This window comes from Homo sapiens, chromosome 17, assembly GCF_000001405.40.
Source record: "Homo sapiens chromosome 17, GRCh38.p14 Primary Assembly".
Lineage (NCBI taxonomy): Eukaryota > Metazoa > Chordata > Mammalia > Primates > Hominidae > Homo > Homo sapiens.
Window position 1 is genome coordinate 10,029,115 of NC_000017.11, and position 21,506 is coordinate 10,050,620.

The 21,506-nt window shown below is 46.5% G+C and overlaps 1 protein-coding gene across 8 annotated transcripts in view, besides 4 other annotated features; it reads right to left on the reverse strand.

Moving 5' to 3' along the window:
• Nucleotides 1-21,506, reverse strand: part of GAS7 (growth arrest specific 7) — a 288,001-nt gene that overhangs the window by 118,509 nt on the left and 147,986 nt on the right. The window contains exons 1-2 of one of the 8 annotated variants that reach the window (XM_005256831.5): nt 7,320-7,543; nt 4,997-5,123 (exon numbers count right to left, since the gene is read on the reverse strand). The exons of 6 other annotated variants lie outside the window; for them this stretch is intronic. Coding sequence is in view for 1 of the 2 variants with exons in the window: in NM_201432.2 (NP_958836.1) it covers nt 7,320-7,322 (3 nt within the window). In the remaining variant the exon portion in view is untranslated. Of the gene's footprint in view, nt 1-4,996; nt 5,124-7,319; nt 7,544-21,506 lie in introns of those variants that run through there. One more of the 8 variants, NM_201432.2, reaches the window with a different exon arrangement.
• Nucleotides 4,120-4,621: an enhancer, noted in NCBI's record as "H3K4me1 hESC enhancer chr17:9936551-9937052 (GRCh37/hg19 assembly coordinates)". NCBI's record gives its function as "activates a minimal SCP1, AML or CMV promoter by ChIP-STARR-seq in naive H9 embryonic stem cells {active_cell/tissue: H9 hESC(naive)}" and the evidence as "EXISTENCE:reporter gene assay evidence [ECO:0000049][PMID:30033119]".
• Nucleotides 4,622-5,121: an enhancer, noted in NCBI's record as "H3K4me1 hESC enhancer chr17:9937053-9937552 (GRCh37/hg19 assembly coordinates)". NCBI's record gives its function as "activates a minimal SCP1, AML or CMV promoter by ChIP-STARR-seq in naive H9 embryonic stem cells {active_cell/tissue: H9 hESC(naive)}" and the evidence as "EXISTENCE:reporter gene assay evidence [ECO:0000049][PMID:30033119]".
• Nucleotides 18,015-18,194: an enhancer, noted in NCBI's record as "active region_11728". NCBI's record gives its function as "activates an Ori minimal core promoter by ATAC-STARR-seq in GM12878 lymphoblastoid cells {active_cell/tissue: GM12878}" and the evidence as "EXISTENCE:reporter gene assay evidence [ECO:0000049][PMID:35858748]".
• Nucleotides 18,693-18,862: an enhancer, noted in NCBI's record as "experimental_47688 CRE fragment used in MPRA reporter constructs". NCBI's record gives its function as "activates a minimal promoter by MPRAs in K562 erythroleukemia cells, with activity observed for the introgressed 17:9951209 variant allele {active_cell/tissue: K562}" and the evidence as "EXISTENCE:reporter gene assay evidence [ECO:0000049][PMID:34662402]".

Here is a 21,506-nt window from a genome sequence, read left to right on the forward strand (position 1 = left end):
TAAAAGTCCTGTAATCATTTACGTGGGAAGACCAGTGCAAGAATAAAAAGAAGGCTGGTCTCAAACTTCTCTGTAGCCACATCTCAAAAGACATCTCCGGTGCATGATGGGGAAAATACCACGACCTTCATTGTACTTCAAGGTAGCCAAGCTGTCTTTCACAAGGGAAGGCAACAGAAACATATTCTTCTAGAGACAAGTACTCATGTCCTCCTTAGCAGAAGTACTTAAGAGATGTACTTCAACTGCCTGAAAGAGCAAGACAAATAAAGGTGAAGAATGACGAAATCACGGCACAAAAGGATCCAGGCTGAACGCTGAAAGCAGCTTACAGAAATGCATACGTAATTATGCATTTCTAGTTATACAATCATGTATACATGTTGCTATTCTCAATATATACTGTAAAAAAATGAAATTATAACCTGAGTCTCAAATATAGACAGTACTAGAAAAGGGCTGGGTGCGGTGCCTCATGCCTATAATCCTAATATTTTGGGAGTCCAAGGTAGGGGGATCACTTGAGCCCAGGAGTTTAAGACCAACCTGCGCAACACAGCAACTCCATCACCACAAAAAATTTAAAAATTAGCCAGACGTGGTGGTGCACACCTTTAGTCCCAGCTACTAGGGAGGCTGAGACAGGAGAATTGCTTGAACCTAGAAGGCGGAGATTGCAGTGAGCTGAGATCATGCCACTGCACTCCAGCCTGGGTGACAGAGCGAGACTCCGTCTCAAAAAAAAAACAATAATAATAATAATTATAATTATATATACTAGAAGAGATCAAGAGGCAGGAGGAACACTGAGATCATGAGAACACCGAGGGAGATGGAAACAAAACGCTGACCTTCCTCCCGTCCCCATAGTGAAGCATCCGTGTCCTGTTGTCCCTCCTGCCAAATATCAGGTATCAGGTACCTGACCAGTTGGCATCCATCCTCTGTCCTTGCTTCTCATGTCCACTCTTGTCTTTTCCTAGAAACTGACAGGTTCTCAACCTGAAGGAACACAACAGAGGGAAGGGGCCTTGGAGACCCAAATCCCTGGTGCTGTGAGTCTTTTGAGTCTTACCTCTACCGGGTTGTATTGGCCCCGAGGGGGCAGTCAGCTTCCAGGGGGAATCCTGAGCCCTGGAATCCATTCAGGTGGATAGGTTGGGACCAAAGTACTTTGTGGATGAAGGAAAAATCAGTAGGAACCCAGGGCTTTCCAAAGACCTCATCTGAAACACCTGTTTGGCTTTGTAAGCCTTCAAAGGGTTCTCAGGGCCAAAATACAGAGAAGAGCATGCGGCTAATTTCGGGCCTGGGCCTGAGCATGACCATGTCCTGTGGAACTGTGGTTGGACCCGTGTGAAAAGGGGGTCAGGTGCATGAGGCACACCTGCAGTTCTCACCAGCAAGAAGCCACAAGAGCCAGGAGGGTCGCCTTCCTTTCTCCCAGTTTTCTATTTGCAAAATTTGTCGGAGGTATTACCAGAGTCCTCTGTGTGTCACCTCAAACCCTTCTTATTAGAAATCACCTAGTGAGCAGGGCTGCCTCCTTGAGTCCCTAAAAGAAACTTCTCAAATGAGGCTTTAGTAGATGCAAATGTCCTCCGGCCTCTTCCAAACCTGGCACTATCCAAGTGTCCTCAGGCCTCACTACTTGGTGTAGATAGATGAATGGGGTGACAATGTATGTGGCAGCAATCATCAGCACCTCGCTGGCTTGAATATCCCACTTGCTCACATCAGACGCCCACCCCCACCAGCCTCCTTGGACGAATCCAAAAGTGACTCGCTTGGGCTCCCCAACCAGGTTGCAACTCCAGTCGCCATGGAGTGTCCGGCATACTCTTCTTCATCTGCATTAGCTACTTCCTCCCCAACACCATCACTGTCCTCTGTCCACGAAGTGGCAAGAGGAAGCCTCACACTGTGGCTGTCACTGGCACCCATCATAAGAGGTAGACATTAGGGCCATGGGAGTTTTCTCCCAGCCATGGGCCTGAAGGCTGAACCACTTGGGACACTCCAGACCTATCCAGCTCCTGGTAGGCTTGGCAAGGGTCACAGCCACCCTGCAAACCCCCAGCACATCCCTGAGGGCCAGTCAATTCATTGGGTATGTTTGTCAAGACTGGGCAGGGAGAGGACACAGAACAATAGACTCTGTATTTTCTGACCCTGTAAAGAAATGGAGTGATCTGGTTAACCAGGAATTTTGATGAACATAATTACAACGCAGTCCCTGCAGCAAGGATACAGGAAGTTCACCCATCAACCCTCACAGGGAAACTTGCCAAGCTGGAAATATGGAGTCTCCGGGGGGACAAGGATTGATGAAAAGATTTGCAAATGATCCTGCAAACTGCAAGGATGAGTTGGACGGCCCCTCCTGGGTCAGAAGTCATGTCACAGCCTTGCAGCATCTGAGAATCAAGCTGTCGGCAGAGGGTAGGAAAGAAATGCCTTCCACGTGGGCCTTGCAGAACCCCTATTCCTGCATGACCCTTCCTCCTCTGACTCTGGAGAATGAGATTTTTATGGTCGTTGCACCTGCTGTACGAATGTAAGACAGAAGGGCCAGTTAATAGGGTTCCAGAGGAGACAATGCAAGAAATGAGGAAAACTCTGAATGTGAGCATGTTTCTTGCATCTGAGATGGCCCGTCCTTTTCGTTGGTGGCATCTCCCCAGCGGCGCCATACGGCATGATGGGGATCTGAGAGACGCCCACTCTTCAGCATGTTTTGGAAGAATCTCGGCATTGACGAACCAGCATAATTGTGCCACCAAATATCAGAGTCACTCTTTTGGCCTCTGATAGACGGGTTTGGAGCAGGTGCCTAAAGGCCTTATGACTGTGTTTTAGAACCACAGGATCTGGGGTGGAGGACCTGGAGTGTCATCCCACAAGCACCCCTGAAATACAGAGAACAGCTCCAGAAATAACAAGGGAAGCAGGGACTGCTTCCCCGCCTTGAAGCCTGGAGGGGTTGGGGAACCTCAGAAAAAAAAAAAAAAAAAAACCCTACATTTTGTTCCATTTCAAGGTCTCTCTGGTCCTGATGTTTCAGCACAATTAAAAATGTAATTATTAAATGACAAGGTAGACTCCTCCCAATAGCCGGTTCCAGCTTCTGGATTCCAAGCCAGAAAACCTGAATGACTGTGCTCGCTGGCTTTTGATTAACAGAGACATTTTATTCAAACTCTCCATTTCCTGATGAACTGTTGAGGAATGTTGCTTCTTTCCTCCTCCCCCTTCCCTAGCAGAATAAAAATAGTGTGGGCCATTCTGATATCCTAGCCCCAACTCAGGATGACAAAAGCATTAGGAGACAGCACAAAGGCCTAGGCATAAAGAGGTGCTGTGTTCCCAGACAGCAAGCTGTGATGTGTGCAATTATCTTAGCCTCTCTGGGCCTCTGTTTCCTCATCTGTGAAATGGGGGGATTGCTAGCCTTGAGGTCCTATAACCCATGCATGGGACGGCTTTTGTAACACAGCCTAAAACCACAAGGAAAATATCAAGGCAGTTAAATGTCCAGCTCAGCTTCCAAAAACAGCAGCCACATAAACAAAAGAGACGACAGAGGCCTGACAAGACACAAATCTTGATGAAATATTGCTTTGCTCGCTGCAAGCTTCCCTCCAAACACTTTTGGGCTCTAAAGAGAAAGAGGTCTCAAACTCTTTTGGTCTAGATACCCTTTCATTTACTCAACCAAATCTGACTTAGAATCGGTGGGAAAGAAAGGCTTGTCTGAGACACCAACAAAGCGAAGTGATATACCAAAAATTGGAAATGAAATGCATGCCCAAATCACGGTATGCGATAGTGCACATGACCTCAGGTCTGTATGGGGAGGCTGAACAGTTGGGGATTCTCTTCCCCTTTGCCACAGGTCCCTGTTACGGCCAATTAATGCTGAAACGTCCCTATTTGTCAAAGGAAGGAGTTGAGCTAGTACTTTTCTCTTCGTCCTAAAGATTAATGATCTTGACATGCATCCTAGGTTTTCTATGCTAGTTGATATCTATAACGATATCACTTGTCCTGACCTAGAAAACACTTTTGAAGGACATTTTGTAGATTGTTGACCTAACAGACTCCCTAGGGAGTTCCTGGAAGGGTGAGGGCCCCTCTAAAGGATTGCTGGTCAACTTCCCTTTGCAGCAGAAAAAGCCTGGGAACAAGAGAGTTTTGCCAAACTTGGTATGGCCCAGAGAGAGAGAGAGACAGAGAGACTATCCTCCCTAGCCTTCCTTTAGTATTAAGCTGCAAAGCCCCCAAATGCCTTATGTCATTGTTTTGGGCACTTTCTAGACTTCTGAGGAAAACCCCAGAACCAAATTTACCAAGCGTCCTATTGCATTCAAAATGGATTTAAGTTCAGAAGCAAGGGAGGGAGTCCAAAGTTGCTAGCTGGATCAGTAACAGGCTCAGTATCTCATGCAAAGCAGCCCGCTCACCAGAAAGGATCTTCAAGCACAAGCGACACAGCTGCTGCCCGCAGATGCACCGGGGGGCAAAAGCTGGCTTCCTCGGGGAATTAGTGCTGTTGTAAAGAAGGCAGACTGAAGCTCATTATGGTATAAGAGTAGGTGCCTCTGACGGCCCGCCTGCACCTGCGATCCAGCTGGCCTGGCTTTGTGGCCACCAGTTGCTGGCTGGAGTGGCCTGCAGGCACTGAAGGAAAATGGAAGCAGCTCATTTCCCCAACACGGAGACTCATTCCACTGACTGCAGTGCCTACGGCCTGTGCTCCAAGTGATTCTAATCAAAGACTTCTGACTCCGAGAGATGGTTCCTGATGAGGTCTGAACCCTGAGCTCTGGAGGGAAATGAAGTCTAATAAGGGCTGGAACCGTTTCCAAGACTCAGTAAGGGGTGCAATTCTCACCAACCCGATTCAACTAACATTTCTGGAGCTGCTGCCGCTGGCACATATAAAGTAGGCAAATGGTGACAGCCAAGGGCCTTGCTATGGAGATGTGAGACCTACCACTGCTCTGTGCCACCGTGCGAAGAACACAGGATGGGAATCGGAGCTGGTAAAGCTGCAGCAGTCTCGCTGGCAGATCTTGAGCAACCTCTTCCATCTCTGCTGGGAGGCCTCAATTGCTTCATCTCTAAAACACGGAAGTTGGACCAGATGGTCTCCAAGGGCTTTCATATATACATATATATAGCCTAATACTTAATAATTCTTTTTTTTTTTTTTAGACAGTCTTGCTGTGTCACCCAGGCTGGAGTGCAGTGGCGTGATCTCGGCTCACTGCAACCTAAGCCTTCCAGGTTCAAGCGATTCTCCTCCCTCAGCCTCCCAATTAGCTGGGATTACAGGCACCTATCACCACGCCTGGCTAATTTTTGTATTTTTAGTAGACACGGGGTTTCACCACGTTGACCAGGCTGGCCTTGAACTCCTGACCTCAGGTGATCTGCCCACCTCGGCCTCCCAAAGTGCTGGGATTACAGGCGTGAGCCACTGCGCCCGGCCCAATAATTCTAAATGTCAGCATTAGTATATATGTTTTAAGGACATGCCATTTTAATAGGAGAAAAAAAGTCACATTCAAGTGTAGACATGGGCATCATGTCTAGGAGGCATCTGACTGTTCCTGAAACGTGGGCTGTGCCCCAAACACCAAGGATCCTGCCTTACTGCACCCAGGATTCTGTGCTTCCACCTCTCACCACACTGAGTTCTGTCCTGATGCGTCCACCTCTTCCCTGTCACTCCTCCGAGCCACGTGAGTGGTCTTAGCTCTATTTGCCTAGCAACTGGATTTCTGCCCTGGAATCCTGGGCTTCTGTCTCTGCATCACCCTGGATGCACCAAAGGCGGGTTCCAGTGGAATTTTTCTGGGCCTGTTAGCAGTTAGCACTTCTGGCTGACTGCTCACATTACACCCCTAACACACAGCCCACTTCAGCTTGGGGGCAGCCCACCAACAGCCTCTGCACCCCACACGCCCTCTTCCCAAGAGCTTGACTTCGGCTCTTCCCAGCTCCTTGCATGCCCTTCAGTGTTCTTCTTCTCTGCTACTCCCTCCACCCCCATGAAGCACCCAACCACGATCCACACACAGGCCTGCCAGAACTCCCTGTGCCCTACAGTCAGACCCAAGGCAGCCACACCTTGGTCAGAACTTGAGTGATTGGTCTGGGTTCCTCACAGCAGCAAATCTCCAAGTGTGGCCCCCGCACGGGCAGCATGAAGTTCTCTGGGATCTGGCTATCAATGCAGAGCCCCAGGTCCTGCCCCAGCACCGGATCTTACATTTTAAAGGTTCCCGGGTAGTTCAGATGCACGTTAACCTTTGAGAAGCACTGCTGTGGACGGTCCTAGGTCAACTAACCCGTTAGAGATGCTCCTGGATAACAAGCACCATCTCCCTTCCCCTGGCACTGTGGGAACAGGAAGCCATGCCAGAATCAGAGATGCTGATGGGCCCAGGGAGGTGGGAGAGCATATCCTGGAGGGAGACCATGTACCAAAACAGGCCAGCCTTTCCATGCAACCTGGACCTCTCACAGCTGTACAGAGCCTCAAGAGAGTGATCACCACTCTCTTGGAGGTCCTCCTTTGCAAAGAAAGAAGATGGATGCGTAACTTCTGGGGGTGGAAAGATTGGTGAAACAAGGCTGTTGTACTGCTAAGTATCAGAAGAGCTTCCATCATCACTGTTGCAGCCTCCACCACCAAGCTGGAAAGATGTCTCAGCCAAGCCTGGAAGCACAGTGCATTACTGGGCAGGTACTTCTGCTAGGGAGCCATGACCCCAGGAGCTCCCACTTACCTTCATAAAGTTTTATAGTCCTCAAATGGCTTTTGCCTTACAATGCCCCAGCTAGAACTGGGCCGTGGGGTAAAAGCCAGATAGGTGGGTAGAATCCAAGTTTCTTACTTGGAAAAAGTTACATGGAGGAAGCAAGGTTTGGACTCCATTAAAATCACATCACCACTCTGCTTCTCCATCACACAGCTCCAACTACGAAACTGCTCCCCAGGTAACTAGGGGAGCCAAGACTTCCTTTCTCTCCAAGACATCCTTCATAAATCTTTCTCCTCCTCCCATCCGCTTTTCCTGATCTCTCACACAATGACCCACGTCTTTTTTTTTTTTCCTCCCTGCTCATGCCTTGGATCTGTGAAAGGTGCCCCCTAGCACACAGGGTCCCCAGACCACCACAGCTCAGCAGTTAGACCCCAAATCTCAGTTTTCAGAGCTGCCTCTTTACCATGGCACAGTCATTTTAGAAACATGCAGAGAAAAGCAAACTGGAGCATACATCTGCAGGCAAGAAAAATCAATTCTTACCATCAGAGAACAGCTAACCTTCTCTGGGGGCTGCTACCTCAGAGGAGAGTCTTGGGTCCTGCCTGAAGCCCTCAGACTCAGCACCAAGACTCCGCCGGCTTCCTCTTCATGGCAGCCTCTCCGGGAAATGGGGCTGAGGCAAGTCGCTAGCCCAGGGCCAGTGTTCTGGGCACCCCAGCGGAGGTTCCTGTGGCTTTGCTCATTGCTGTTCTTTCACAAAGAACCCACTACATTGCATAGTTCCTTCCAAATCCGCTCCAGTGCTTGCTGGGAAATTAACAACTTGTTCTGGACTTTCCAGATGCAATGTTTCTGGAGGCCTTTCTTTTTTTCCCACTCTCCCTCTTTTTCCCCTTTCTCAGCTAAAAAACGTTGGCTGAGGTCACAACAAACAATGGCCAAGCTTGTGTCACTGAGCAGATGCCTCCCACCCCCAGGCCTGTGGACAAGGGCAGCTTTGTCCACTGTGTTTTAGGCGGGACTTCCTGGGCCTGCCCAAGCCCTGCTGGAGAATGTTTTGGCCAACTTCCTCCCAACCCTAAGTCACAGCTCTGGTCCTGGCCCCGGCCCCGGCCCCAGCTGTGTGAACCCAAGGCCAGATAAAAACCAACATAAAAAGAACGGAGAATGTTCCCCCAAAGAACCACTGTGTGGAAAGCTGGTGCCTCCAGAGGGGCGAGATGAAGGTCTCTTGCCTTCACTCTGCCCTCGCCACCATCAAACCTGGACAGATAACGAACAAAGACAGGCTCATGTGAGGTCTCCACTGAAAGGGGCCTGAGGATCACAAAGTCATTAGTTACAAGTGGAGAAAGGATTGGACCCCAAGAGCAATACTGCAGCCACCAACTAAATGAGCTTGGGCAGGGCTTGGATCCTTCATGAATATATCCTATCACTCCGTTTAGAAAGGTTTTTGGAGCAGCTGACTATTTAGCACTCAAAATGCCGCATATTTCTGTGTTTGCTTTCAGATGCAAACCTTTGGGGTTTTAGGAACTGATTCTTTATATAGAATTAAATATGGTTTTCTAGAGAAACCAAGATCCTGAGGACCGAGTGGTTCCCTATTAAGCAAATGGATAAACTTATTTATGAAGAGGTTTCAATGCCAGCTCCTTGGGTCGGGGGAAGAAAATAAGTACAATCGTCTAAGGATGGAGTCAGACCAGAGCTAAGCTGTTGTTTTACTACATACTAGCTCCAAGACCCTGGGCAACGGCTCCAGCTTCAATTTCTCCAAGTGTAAAATGCAGATGATCACAGTATCTTTCTCAAAAGATTGCTGTGAGAGATTAAAGGGGGTGGGGGTGGGGCATCCATGTAAACATTTCACCTAGTGGACGAAGTAAATGCTCAATGAAAGCTAGGATTTTTGTTGTTACTATCACCAGTGGCTGAAAGGTAGGCACTGCAGTTACCCCGGGTCCAAAAAGAGTCCAGACTGAACAATAAAAAGCAAACAGCCCAATTTAAAAAAATGAGCAAAAGATATTCCTCCAAAGAAGATATAAAAATGACCAATAAGCACATTTAAAGATGCTCAATATCACTAATCATGAGGGAAATGCAAATCAAAACTACAGTGAGATATTAGCTCACACCCATTAGGACAGGTTCTTAAAAAAAAAAAACCAGACAAGGCCAGGCACAATGGCTCATGCCTGTAATCCCAGCACTGTGGGAGGCCAAGACGGGTGGATCACTTGAGGCCAGGAGTTCAAGACCAACCCGGCCAACGTGGTGATACCCCGTCTCTACTAAAAATACAAAAATTAGCCAGTCGTGGTGGTGTATACCTGTAGTCCCAGCTACTTGGGAGGCTGAGGCAGGAGAATCCAGGAGGCGGAGGGTGCAGTGAGCTAGGATCACACCACTCTCACTCCAGCCTGGGCAACGGAGCAAGGCTCTGTCTCAAAACAAACAAATAAACAAATATCAACAAAACAGAAAAGAACAGGTACTAGTAAGGATTGAGAACTGTTGGAACCCTTGTGCCCTTCTGGTGGGAATGTAAAATAGTACAGCCCCTGTGGAAAATAGTGTGTTAATTCTTCAAAAAAATTAAACAAAGAATTGCCATATGGTCCAGCAATTCCATTAATAGGTATATACCAAAAAGAACTGAAAGCAGAGTCCTGAAGGGAGGGTCTTGCTGCCTGTTCATGGCAACATTATTCACAAGAGCCAGAAGGTGGAAACAATGCAAGTCGTAGTAAAATAAACACAATAGAATATTACTCAGCCTTAAGAAGGAAGGAATTTTTTTTTTTTTTTTTTTTTTGAGACGAAGTCTTGCTCTGTCACCCAAGCTGGAGTGCAGTGGCGCAATCTCGGCTCACTGCAAGCTCCGCCTCCTGGGTTCAAGCGATTCTCCTGCTTCAGCCTCCCAAGTAGCTGGGACTACAGGTGCGCACCACCATGCCTGGCTAATTGGAAGGAAATTTTGACATATGCAACCATGTGGATGGACCTTAAGGACATTATGCTCAGTGCAACAGCCAGACACAAAGGGACAAATACCATTTGCTTCACTTCTATGAGGCACCTAGAGAAGTCAAATTAATAGCGACAGGTTGCAGAATGGAGGTGACCAGGTGCTGTGGGCAGGGAATGATGGGAAGTTTGTGTTTAATGGGTCCAGAGTGTCACTGGTGCAAGATGGAAGCATTCTGGAGATTAATGGTGGTGATGATGGCTGCACAAACACGTGGGTATACTCAAAGCCACTGAACTATACATTTAAAACTGATGGAGATGGTGGATTTCATGTCATGCATATTTTGCCATGATTAAAAAAAAAAAGCCCCCAAGACCCACAGAGATAGTTTAGATCAAAAGACCCTGTGACCCATAAGCCGCTTCATGAGATACACCACCTCAGGCTCTCCATGTACACCCAGAGGGAAGCTGCCCCAGCCTCTTGGCAATGGTGAAGAGAAAGCCCACCTAGAAGATGAGGGTGGGACCAGGGACGGTGGCTCACGTCTGTAATCCCAACACTTTGGAAGGCTGAGGTAGGTGGATCATTTGAGGTCAGGAGTTCGAGACCAGCCTGGCCAACATGGCGAAAACCCATCTCTACTAAAAATACAAAAAATTGGCTAGGCATGGTGGCGGGCGCCTGTAATCCCAGCTACTCAGGAGGCTGAGGCAGGAGAATTACTTGAACCCGGGAGGCAGAGGTTGTAGTGAGCCAAGATCATGCCACTGCACTCCAACCTGGACGTCAGAGTGAGACCCTGTCTCAAAAATAAATAAATAAATAAAGACGACGAGGCTGGCCACCTATAGCAGGACTCACTCACCATGGCTCGTCTTGCGTTCAATCTTGGGGAGACCGAGGTGACACAGCCAGCATCCTAATGTCAATCGAGGGATTTTCCGTTTAGGGGTGTGGCACCCTCTGGGGCTCCCAGAGGGGGTGACAATGTGCCTTTCCCTTGGACATATCAATTCCTTCTGTGTCCGCATCCCACCTTCCTGGTCTTTTCTCTTACATGCCTGACAGCAGGGCCCATCTCTTCCTTCCTAAAGTTACTGACGTGGCTGCTGGGGGGACTCTTCCTCCCTCTCTAATTGCTGGGTTTCAATCTGCTGCAGGAGTGGCTGTGAGGATCTTGTACTGAGCACTCACTTTGGACCAGGCGCTGTTCTATGCTTCACATGTTTCATGTCACTTAATCCCTCTAACAAACCAAAAAGGAAAATTCTATGATCGCCCTCATTTAACAGAGGAAAACAGAGGCTCCTGCGAGAGATTGGGCAGGATGGGTCAGAAGAACAAGCCACAGGGGCAATATTCTAGGCCATGGGGCCAGCCTGAGCCAAGGTGAGAGAGAAACCGTGTGGGTAGAGGCTGTGGGGGAAAAGCAGGTGGATCCATTCATTAGAGTTTAAGAGGCATGGGAGGTGAGAAATATAGTAGTGAAGGATGGCATCAGATCATGGGAGGCCATGAGGACACCAAGAACTAAGAAATTTCGATTCTATAAAGGAGAAGAAACCATCAGTGGATTCTGAGCCAGGGAGAAGTCACAATCAGGGCTGTGCTTTGTAGAAATCATCATGATACCAGGGTATAAAAAGGTCAAATGTGAGGGAGAAACTAGAGGGAGGAAACCGGCTATAGAATCCCCCCCACCTTCTTTCTCTCTCCCCCCTCTCACCCATCATAAAAACAAGAGAAAGGCAATGCTCAAGCCTACACTTGCAAAATGGTCCCAAACCAGCCATGAAGAGGAGGCAAGAGCATCACATCCAGCGGTGGGGAGTCCCCCACCGGCAGCTGAGTTATTTGCATCTTCTCTCTGCAGTGTGGGAGGAGAGGCCGGGTGACGAATCCACACACTCGCTTTTGAGGTCAGACATGCTACAGAAATAGACAGGACCAAGATACTTTTCTGTTCTTGGAGATGGGCTCTCACCCATAAGAAGGTAAAAGCGGGCCGGGCACGGTGGCTCACACCTGTAATCCCAACACTTTGGGAGGCCGAGGCAGGTGGATGACCTGAGGTCAGGAGTTTGAGACTAGCATGGCCAACATGGCAAAACCCCACCTCTACTAAAAATACAAAAATTAGCCAGGCGTGGTGGTGTGCGCCTGTAATCCCAGCTACCAGGGAGGCTGAGACAGGAGAATTGCTTGAACTCAGGAGGCAGAGGTTGCAGTGAGCCAAGATCGTGCAGCTGCACTCCGGCCTGAGTGACAGAGCAAGACTGCCTAAAAAAAAAAAAAAAAAAGAAGAAGGTAAAAGCAAAACTTCATTTGAACCTAGATGGCCAAGACCTTCACCTTCAGTCCTTACAGGTTTGTGAAATTAAAATGGCCATGAAAGCTTTCATAGCCTGTGACTCCTCAGTTTTGTAACAGCAAAGAGGGGACAGTTTTGATGCTGTTAAACATTAACAGCCGTCTCCGACACCACTTTGACATTGCATCACACAGACGAACAGATACAATCACAGACAACAATGCATCACTCCAGGCAACACACAGAAATCACTGTCATTGCAAATCCCAGTAGGGCCCCCAGCCAAGGGCAAGGGACCTTTCCGGGCCATTACAAACCAGGAGGCTGATCTGCTGTGGCCTGACCTCAGCAGAACACACTAGTCCTGCAGACATTTAATTCTTTAGGATTCCCCAAAGTTAATCTCTCAGAGTATGGAAGACTCACGAATACATTCTAAGGGTTTACTGTTTGGGTTCATCCTAGCATCTCAATCCAGAAGTCACTTTGGTTTTCCTTTATTAACCATCCTTAGTGATTAGCGTTGGCCGTGAAAAACACGCTACTGGTCTCTCCTTGTGGCCTCTGCAAATAGATAGGTTGCTACATATGAAGCCACACACACGAACGGCAGACAGCAGAGAATCCGTGATCCCAAAGCAAAAAGACTGATGATATTTCCACCAACCTGAGTTTTCCTGAGTTCAACGGCATCAGATAAGACCAACCCTCTTATTATTTTTTTCGTTTCAGTCAAGTTGAAAACTGTCAACCAAAATAGGCCTTATTTGCTGTAGGCCCTTGTCCTCTGTAGGATGAATTGGGTTGTCTTAAAATGATAATTAATAGGCCGAGCACGGTGGCTCATGCCTGTAATCCTAGCACGTTGGGAAGCCAAGACGGGCAGATCATGAGGTCACGAGTTCAAAACCAGCCTGGCCAATATTGTGAAATCCTGTCTCTATTAAAAATACGAAAATTAGCTGGGCGTGGTGGCACGTGCCTGTAGTCCCAGCTACTTGGGAAGCTGAGGCAGTAGAATCACTTGAACCTGGGAGGCAGAGGTTGCAGTGAGCTGAGATAGTGCCACCGCACTCCGGCCTGGGTGACAGAGCGAGACTCCGTCAAAAAAAAAAAAAAAAAAAAAAAGATAATTAATAAGAAAACACATCTGGGTAGGGTGATGACTCACTTTTGTAACTGCTTCACAGTCATGAACGGAAAAATTATTCATCAGCCCAAGCAGTCTCTAGGGTACAGGGTCTCAGGGACGCCCCCTTCCTCCATACGTGGCCCCCTGTCTGCATGATCAATCAACCAACTAATAGTTACTAACTACCCTTTCCTGAATCCTGTGTGGGATGCAGGCAGGTATTGTATGTAGGACCTGACTCCTAAAATTCGGAAGCTAAGTCGCAAACATGGGCAAAAAAAAGGAATAAGTATCAAAGGAGTCTTCAACAGTGCCAAATGCTATGTGATAAGCTGGCAGACAATAAGAGCTTTCAGAATCCAGAGGAGGGCGAGGTCACTCTTGGCTGGGATGGTACAGGGAGGCTTCCCAAAAGATAAAGAACTTGCCTCACAGCAGGGATAAAAAACAAGGGCTTGACTGGAGCCCGAGGAACATGATGTACGAAGCAGAATAAGGTTTGATAAAGGACGGGACATAAGGAAATGAGAGACAGCGAAGTTGATTCGGAAGGAAATGACAGAAGTTCGAACCAGTAACTCGAAGAGATGTGGCTATGGTGACAGCCAGTTTAGGGGGATGCAGTAGAGTCTGTTGACCATGGATCCAAGTTCAAAGTGTTCGGTGGGGAGTAGGGGTGAGTCTGGCCCTTGGCACATGGAGCTGGAGCTGGAGGCATCTGCTCAGAGATGGTGGTGAGATCCTACAGGCTGACAAGGAGTTCACAGAGAAAGAAAGGACCTTGAGCTGAACCTTGGGGCATGCTCTTGCTTAAGCAGTGGGAGAAGAATTATTCTCCCCCAGCATGCCTCAGGCCCAATCCCTCCCTCTCCTGTGCCTTTCATTAGTGCATGCAACACCCCCAGGGCCCCTCTCCAAGACTTTCAAAGGCAAGAACCAGGTCTTCATCTTTTTCACCTCTAACCAGACTAGTGCTCAACACTCAGGGGCTACATGGGGAATGAACGATGTGAGTTCTGAGAATCAGGCAGAGAAACCAAATGAAGAGGGGGGATACAAGAAGAAATAAGTACAGCTGACCCTTGAACAACACGAGGGTTTAGAGGTGCTAACCCCCATCTCCCCATGTGGTTGAAAATCTGTACCTAACTTTTGACTCCCTCAAAAGTTAACTACTAACAACCTACTGCTGACTAGAAGCCTTAGCGATAACCTAAACAGTTGATAAACATGTATTCTGTATGTTATCCATATTACAGACTTTATTCCTAAAGTAAGCTAGAGAAAAATAAAATGTTAAGAAAATCATAAGGGGCCGGGCACAGTAGCTCACACCTATAATCCCAACACCTTGGGAGGCTGAAGTGGGAGGATGGCTTGAGCCCAGGAGTTCGAGACCAGCCTGGGCAGTCTGGTGAGTGAGAGCCCATCTCTACAAAAATAAGTGAAGATAAAAAATAAAAATAAATTAACCTGGCATGGTGCATGCCTGTAGACCCAGCTACTAGGCAGACTGAGGCAAGAGTATTCTTGAACCCTGGAAGTTGAGGCTGTAGTGAGCCAAGATTGCTCCACTGCACTCCAGCCTGGGCAACAGAGTGAGACCCTGTCTCTAAATAAATAAATAAAATCATAAGAAAGAGAAAATACACCTACAGTACTGTACTGTATTTACTGATGCCATAAGTTTACATCATCTGTTTAAAAGATGAAACCTTTGAAATGGTGGCAGCAGCAGCTGCAGACGTCAGTCTACGGTACCTGACAAGCAATTGAACTTTTTCTTGTAATGTCAGGACTTTTCTCTGCTTCTGGGGAATGCTTTCAGCATCACTAGTGGCACACTCTATGGGTCCCATGGTGTTATTCGAGGCTTATGGCATTGCACTAAACATGATGAAAAATACATAGAACAGTGAGGGCTTACATTTTACTGCGATACCCAATTTACTGGAGTGATGAACTGTTCATCCAGGGCTGATCAGCATCACATGACAAGCCGATGCTCTCAACACCTGAGCTCACTGCAATAACAACTAGGGGTGGCCATGAAGTTACTACAGTATATACTATGGCTAGTTTTATGCAGTTATGATTAATACTACATCTTTGCCTTTGTTTACATTTTGCTTAAATATGAATGGTGCCATACACAGTCTGAGTGTTTGTGTGGGTAAAATTTTAAAAATTTTAACTTTCTGTAGATTTGTATGTATTTTGTGGTAGTAAATGATAAACTAGTATCGAATATATTTTATGTATTCACGGCATGTCTAACATTTTCTAAATTTTTTTGGTATTTCTAGACTAGGTAGTCTGTCTTCAATTTTTTTCAAATTATCACAAATCTCCAAAAATATTTTCCAATATATTAATTGAAAAGAATCCACATATAAGTAGATCTGTGCAGTTCAAATCCATTGTCTGAGGGTCAACTGTAGTTAAGAGTGTCCGGCCAGGCGCGGTGGCTCACGCCTGTAATCCCAGCACTTTGGGAGGCCGAGGCGGGCGGATCATGAGGTCAGGAGATGGAGACCATCCTGGCTAACATGGTGAAACTCCATCTCTACTGAAAATACAAAAAATTAGCTGGGCATGGTGGTGGGCACCTGTAATCCCAGCTACTAGGGAGGCTGAGGCAGGAGAATCACTTCATCTTGGCAGTGAGCAGAGATCGTGCCACTGCACTCCAGCCCGGGCGACAGAGCGAGACTCCATCTCAAAAAAAAAAAAAAAAAAAAGTGTCCAAGTGAGATGCCAAAGAAAATGCTCGCTGAATACAGAAAGGGTGTGTCTCATTTATCTTGGAAAGAGAAATATGGAAGAGTGATGGGTGTAGACTTGGATCACAGGCACACAAGGACCTATGAGCATAGGATGCAAAGGGAAGCAAGATCTTTAGATAAGATGCCATTAAAGAAGAGAACAAGAAAGAGGACAGGCCATAGACTGTGGCTGGCTCCAGACCAAGGGCTGTGCTGGGCAGAGGGCTCCCGTGAGGTGACTGCAGCCAGTTTCTTGTACATATCATGGTAGAGTCCTAGGACCCTTATAAAATTTCTATGTGTCCCACCCCATAAAAGATTCCTAGTATTGGCCGGGTGTGGTGGCTCACGCCTGTAATCCCAGCATTTTGGGAGGCCGAGGCAGGTGGATCACCTGAAGTCAGGAGTTCAAGGCCAGCCTGGCCAACATGGTGAAACCCCGTCTCTACTAAAAATATAAAAATTAGCTGAGTGTGGTGGTGGTCGCCTGTAATCCCAGCTACTCAGCAGGCTGAGACAGGAGAATTGCTTGAACCCAGGAGACAGAGATTGCAGTGAGCTGAGATCGCGCCATTGCACTCCAGCCTAGGCGACAGAGTGAGACGCTATCTCAAAAAAAATTCCCAAGTATCAAGTGGACATATCAGAAACGGCACCCAGTTGAAAAGGCCTCCAAACAGCCCTGATTCTAAGAGATCCCACAGCTTGGTTTCCCCTTCCTGCAGTCATTCATATCCCACTGTGACACCTTGTTCCATCCATCACTGTGTACCAGCCGCACTATTATTTACTCAATATTTTTTTCGAACTGACTTATATCCCACTGAAATGTAGTCTGGCCCTAAGCAATAATATCTATGAAATCACAGATTTGATTTGGTTTCTTTCTACTACACACTAAAATAAATATAACTTTAAAACTGTCATCTCCACATGATCTAAAATTATCTCACGGATCCTTAGTTGGAAACTCAGCACACTTTGAGAAACACTGTCTCTGGCTACACATCAAGTCACCATGCAGCATCCACAAAGTGGTTCTGGAGATTCTTTTTTTTAATCCAGAAAACTGAACTTGAATTCTCTACTGACTACGTCCCCACAACGACAGGAACACGGTACCCGGCGTGTGACTGAATCTCTGGGAGATTAAGGGCATGGCAAAAGGAGATGCAGGGGACTTCCCTGTAAGAAGCATCTGACAGCTGCCCCAGGACACTGCCTATCAAACCAGCAATAAGAGGAAAAGAACAGGAAATAACTCATCCAATCTTAAAAACAAAATCCAAAAATGACAAACAGAATCGGAGGAAAAAAAAAAAAACTCGAGAACCATGAGGCCAATGAAGGAAATGCAGAAAATCTTGCAAACCGCTGGGCGCGGTGGCTCACACCTGTCATCCCAGCACACTGCCCGCCTCGGCGGGCAGATCATGAGGTCAGGAGTTCCAGACCAGCCTGGCCAATATAGTGAAACCTCGTCTCTACTAAAAATACAAAAATTAGCCAGGCTTGATGGCGGGCACCTGTAGTCCCAGCTACTCAGGAGTCTGAGGCAGGAGAATTGCTTGAACCTGGGAGTCGGAGGTTGCAGTGAGCCGAGATCACGCCACTGCACTCCAGCCTGGGTGACAGAGCAAGACTCTGTCTCAAAAAAAAAAAAAGAAAAGAAAAGAAAGAAAGAAGAGAAAGAAAGAAAGAAAGGAAGGAAGGAAGGAAGGAAGGAAGGAAGGAAGGAAGGAAGGAAGGAAGGAAGGAAGGAAAGAAAAGAAAAGAAAAAAGAAAAGAAAAGGAAAAGAAAAGAAAAGAAAAGAAAATCTTGCAAACCAAGATGAGTTGTAAAAGGGGAAATAAGACTTCACACCTTCACCACTCTCTGCCCATAATCTGAGCTGCACTTCATGCCTCTGCCACTCCATGTCTCTAATTTGAGATGCAGGATTTGCACTGACCTGAACACTGAGCAGCCAGCCCTCTCCTCTCAGCACAGATGCTGTCTGAGAGGACTGCCCATCATCCATTTAGGTACAGCAAGTCCCAGAAAACAAGAGAGCAGGAAGTGCAGGGTAGAACAAGGGGCGTGGGAGGGGTGCTCACTGTTCGGAAAGGTACAGATGCTACAGGCCAAGCCCAGCCAATGCCCTGGCTGCAGGGCATTGAGAAGAGACCCCAGGAACTGTGAGTTTTCATGTTCTCCATCAATTCGGAGTATCAGAGGACCAGATAGTAACGTGACAGTTCACCAGGCAAAGGCCAATTCGAAAACAGAAACTGGACTGAGAGATGGGTGCACCATCGAACCCTACAGGCAGGTAGCTGTGAGGGGAAGTCAACCTTCCCCCAAGCCGACAGTGTGCCAAGGCTAGTGACAGTCGATACTTTCTGTTGGTACATGCCACGTTTACATAGATCCTGCCGTGTCAAGAATGCATAAAGAGGGGAAATATGCAAAAGCAGGGTGAGGAAACACCATCCTGAAAGCACAAAGGAAGAGCACGTCTCAGAAAATCATTCAGAAGAAAAACTGTCAGGAAACTGTCAGAATGTAAGAAGCTGTGATTTCTTTGAAAGAGGAACAGCAAATCATAACAGGAAAAAAAAAGCAGTTCGAATAAAAAGGATGACAAAGAAGATAGTGGACGAGGTGAGGATTATATAAAAATTGCTCATTTAAATCCATATTTAGTTGTAGTTGTGGGTAACTGCAAATATAAACATTTAAATCAGTGACTTGCGGGGCTAACAGGAAAAGTGTCCCCAAATTGCAAAGGACAAAAAGCAAGGAAATCAAGAGTCTATGTAACATATATGTTTAAAAATATTCCATTATTAAAGACCAGAATAGGTTAAACTTAATAACCAATTGCAATTAAAATTATCAAGTATTAATAAAATTAATAATGAATTGCAAAAATAATCTAAAATTACGCATATAGGCCAGGCGCGGTGACTCATGCCTGGAATCCCAGCACTTTGGGAGGGTGAAGCGGGCAGATCACTTGAGGTCAGGAGTTCAAGGCTAGCCTGGTGAACATGGTGAAACCCTGTCTCTACTAAAAATACAAAAATTAGCCAGGCATGGTGGTGCGCACCTGTAATCCCAGCTACTTGGGAGGCTGAGGCAGGAGAACTGCTTGAACCAAGGAGGCGGAGGTTGCAGAGAGCGGTGATCGCGCCATTGCAACCTCGCGCCATTGCAGTTGCGCCTGGGCGACAAAGCTAAACTCCATCTCAAAACAACAACAACAAAAAATCATTCATATAAACAGGCAAAAAGAGAAAGGGTTACCCAGGAAATCAGATTTTCCTCAGACTTCTCCTCTACCCTCCCTACCAATGGCTAGAGAGCTCTTTCTACTAGAATAAAAGCTCCATACAGCAGGGATTTTGTTTTGCTCACTGCTCTATCACGGTGCATACAGGGCCTGGCATCACCCCTTGGAAAGTGCTAGAAGACAAACCCCACTGAGTTTAAAGCTTCACGGGGTACAGTCATTGTTATGTCCATTGCTGTGGGTATTCAATAAATATTTGCTGAAGCTAAACTGCAAATGTGAATTTTTACCCAAAACTTTGTAATTCAAGACATACAAATCCATCAAGTTGTATGAGTATTTCAAGTGAAAGAAATAGGAAGGTTCTGTTAGAGGCATGCAAGTGAAGACACCATCTCCTTACCCTCCAGGCACTGAGAGAGAAAATTAGGAAGACAACACAGCCATGGGGAAGTAATAATACAAATACAATGCATATGTAAGTCATTTCTTGCTCAGTACAAACTCCCAATGCAAAAATCCAGAGAACTGTGTGCTGCCTGGTGGATTTTCCAGCTCATTGCGGGGGGGAAGATTAGTGCCTTAGTATTTCATTCACCTCCTTTTCTGCTCCTGTCCATCCCAGAACCAGGATACGAGTTTCTCCTACAAGGCCAGTGCAGATGAAGCAATGGGCCATGTGTGAGGAGCACGCATAACTGATGTTCCCTTTCTGTCCAGGCGCATACCAACAATGAGGACTATTCAAGCTTTAGGGACACTCTGCTGGGAGGATCCAGAAACAAGAAGTCTTTGTTTTTCGTGTCCACCAAAGCAACACTGTGCTATGTAAGGCACCACAGTGGCCATTTTCTTCGCCGTGGAACTTCAGTCTTTATTTTCTGCATGTTAAAAACTCATATTGAATGGACCAAGTCTTGTTTTCTTCCTTAATTTGGGTAAGACCAATAAACCACCCCATGGCAATGCTTTCTGTCATCAAAGCCCTCTTTATATCATCCTCCCTCTAAAAGCTGTCCCTGCTTTAGAAATCAAAGTATGCAGTATGATCTCAATATGGAAAATAGCACTCCCTCACCCAAATGAAGTACTAAAGAAAGACACAGACACATTAACAAAGCTTATCTTTGTATTGGGGGATTCTCCGGTTGTTTCAATTCTATTTCTTTCACCAATTTTAAAATTTTACTTTATTTAAAAATATTTTAAAATAATTTTTTGATTTTTAAAACGTGTTTTGAAATTACTTCTTTTTTTTTTTTTTTTTTTTTTTTTTTTTGAGACAGAGTCTCACTCTGTCGCCCAGGCTGGAGTGCAGTGGCGCGATCTTGGCTCACTGCAAGCTCCGCCTCCTGGGTTCACGCCATTCTCCAGCCTCAGCCTCCCGAGTAGCTGGGACTACAGGTGCCTGCCACCACGCCCAGCTAATTTTTTGTATTCTTAGTAGAGACAGGGTTTCACCATGTTGGCCAGGCTGGTCTGGAACTCCCAACCTTGTGATCCACCCACCTTGGCGTCCCAAAGTGTTGGGATTACAGGCGTGAGCCACCGCGCCCGGTCTGAAATTAGTTTTACAATCAGCAAATCATCATATACAATCCTAAATATACTATATGATCCCAATTGTGGAGAAAAATATACACAACATAAAAAAGAATGCCCCTAATTATTTTCTTATTTCTGTTTTTCTATATTTTCCATGTTTTCTATAATGAGCATATTAATTTTAATGCCTTTTAAAAATTCTAAGCTTATTTTCTATTATCAGCTAGTACATGAATATCACCTTACTAAAATTATTTAAACAAGTCCAATAAAACCCTCCTTGACATATCCCATCACATTTGACATCCCCTAAAATGAGTACTATTTATCAGGTAGGGTTTATTGTATTATCTTTCAAATGGCAAGACAGTTGGTGGGGTGGGGGGGCTTTATCTTTAAGAAAACAGAGACAAAATGACTTTCTCAACCAATGCAACGCTAACACAAAAATTAGAGACAGAAGGCACCTTAGTAATCATCTGATCACATCTCATCATTTTACAGATGGACAAACTGAGGCCTGGAGACAGAGCTTGGACACCGAGTCTCCCCAGTACCCACACAGAGCCCTCTCCTTGCCCTCTGCCCACCCTAAACCTGGGTGCAGATGTCACCCCCATGACTAGAGGGCTAGCACATGGTCAGATGGCACAGCAGAACCAAGGCCCCATTCAGGACCACTCCCCAAGATGACCTCCACACTGCTGGAAAAGGTG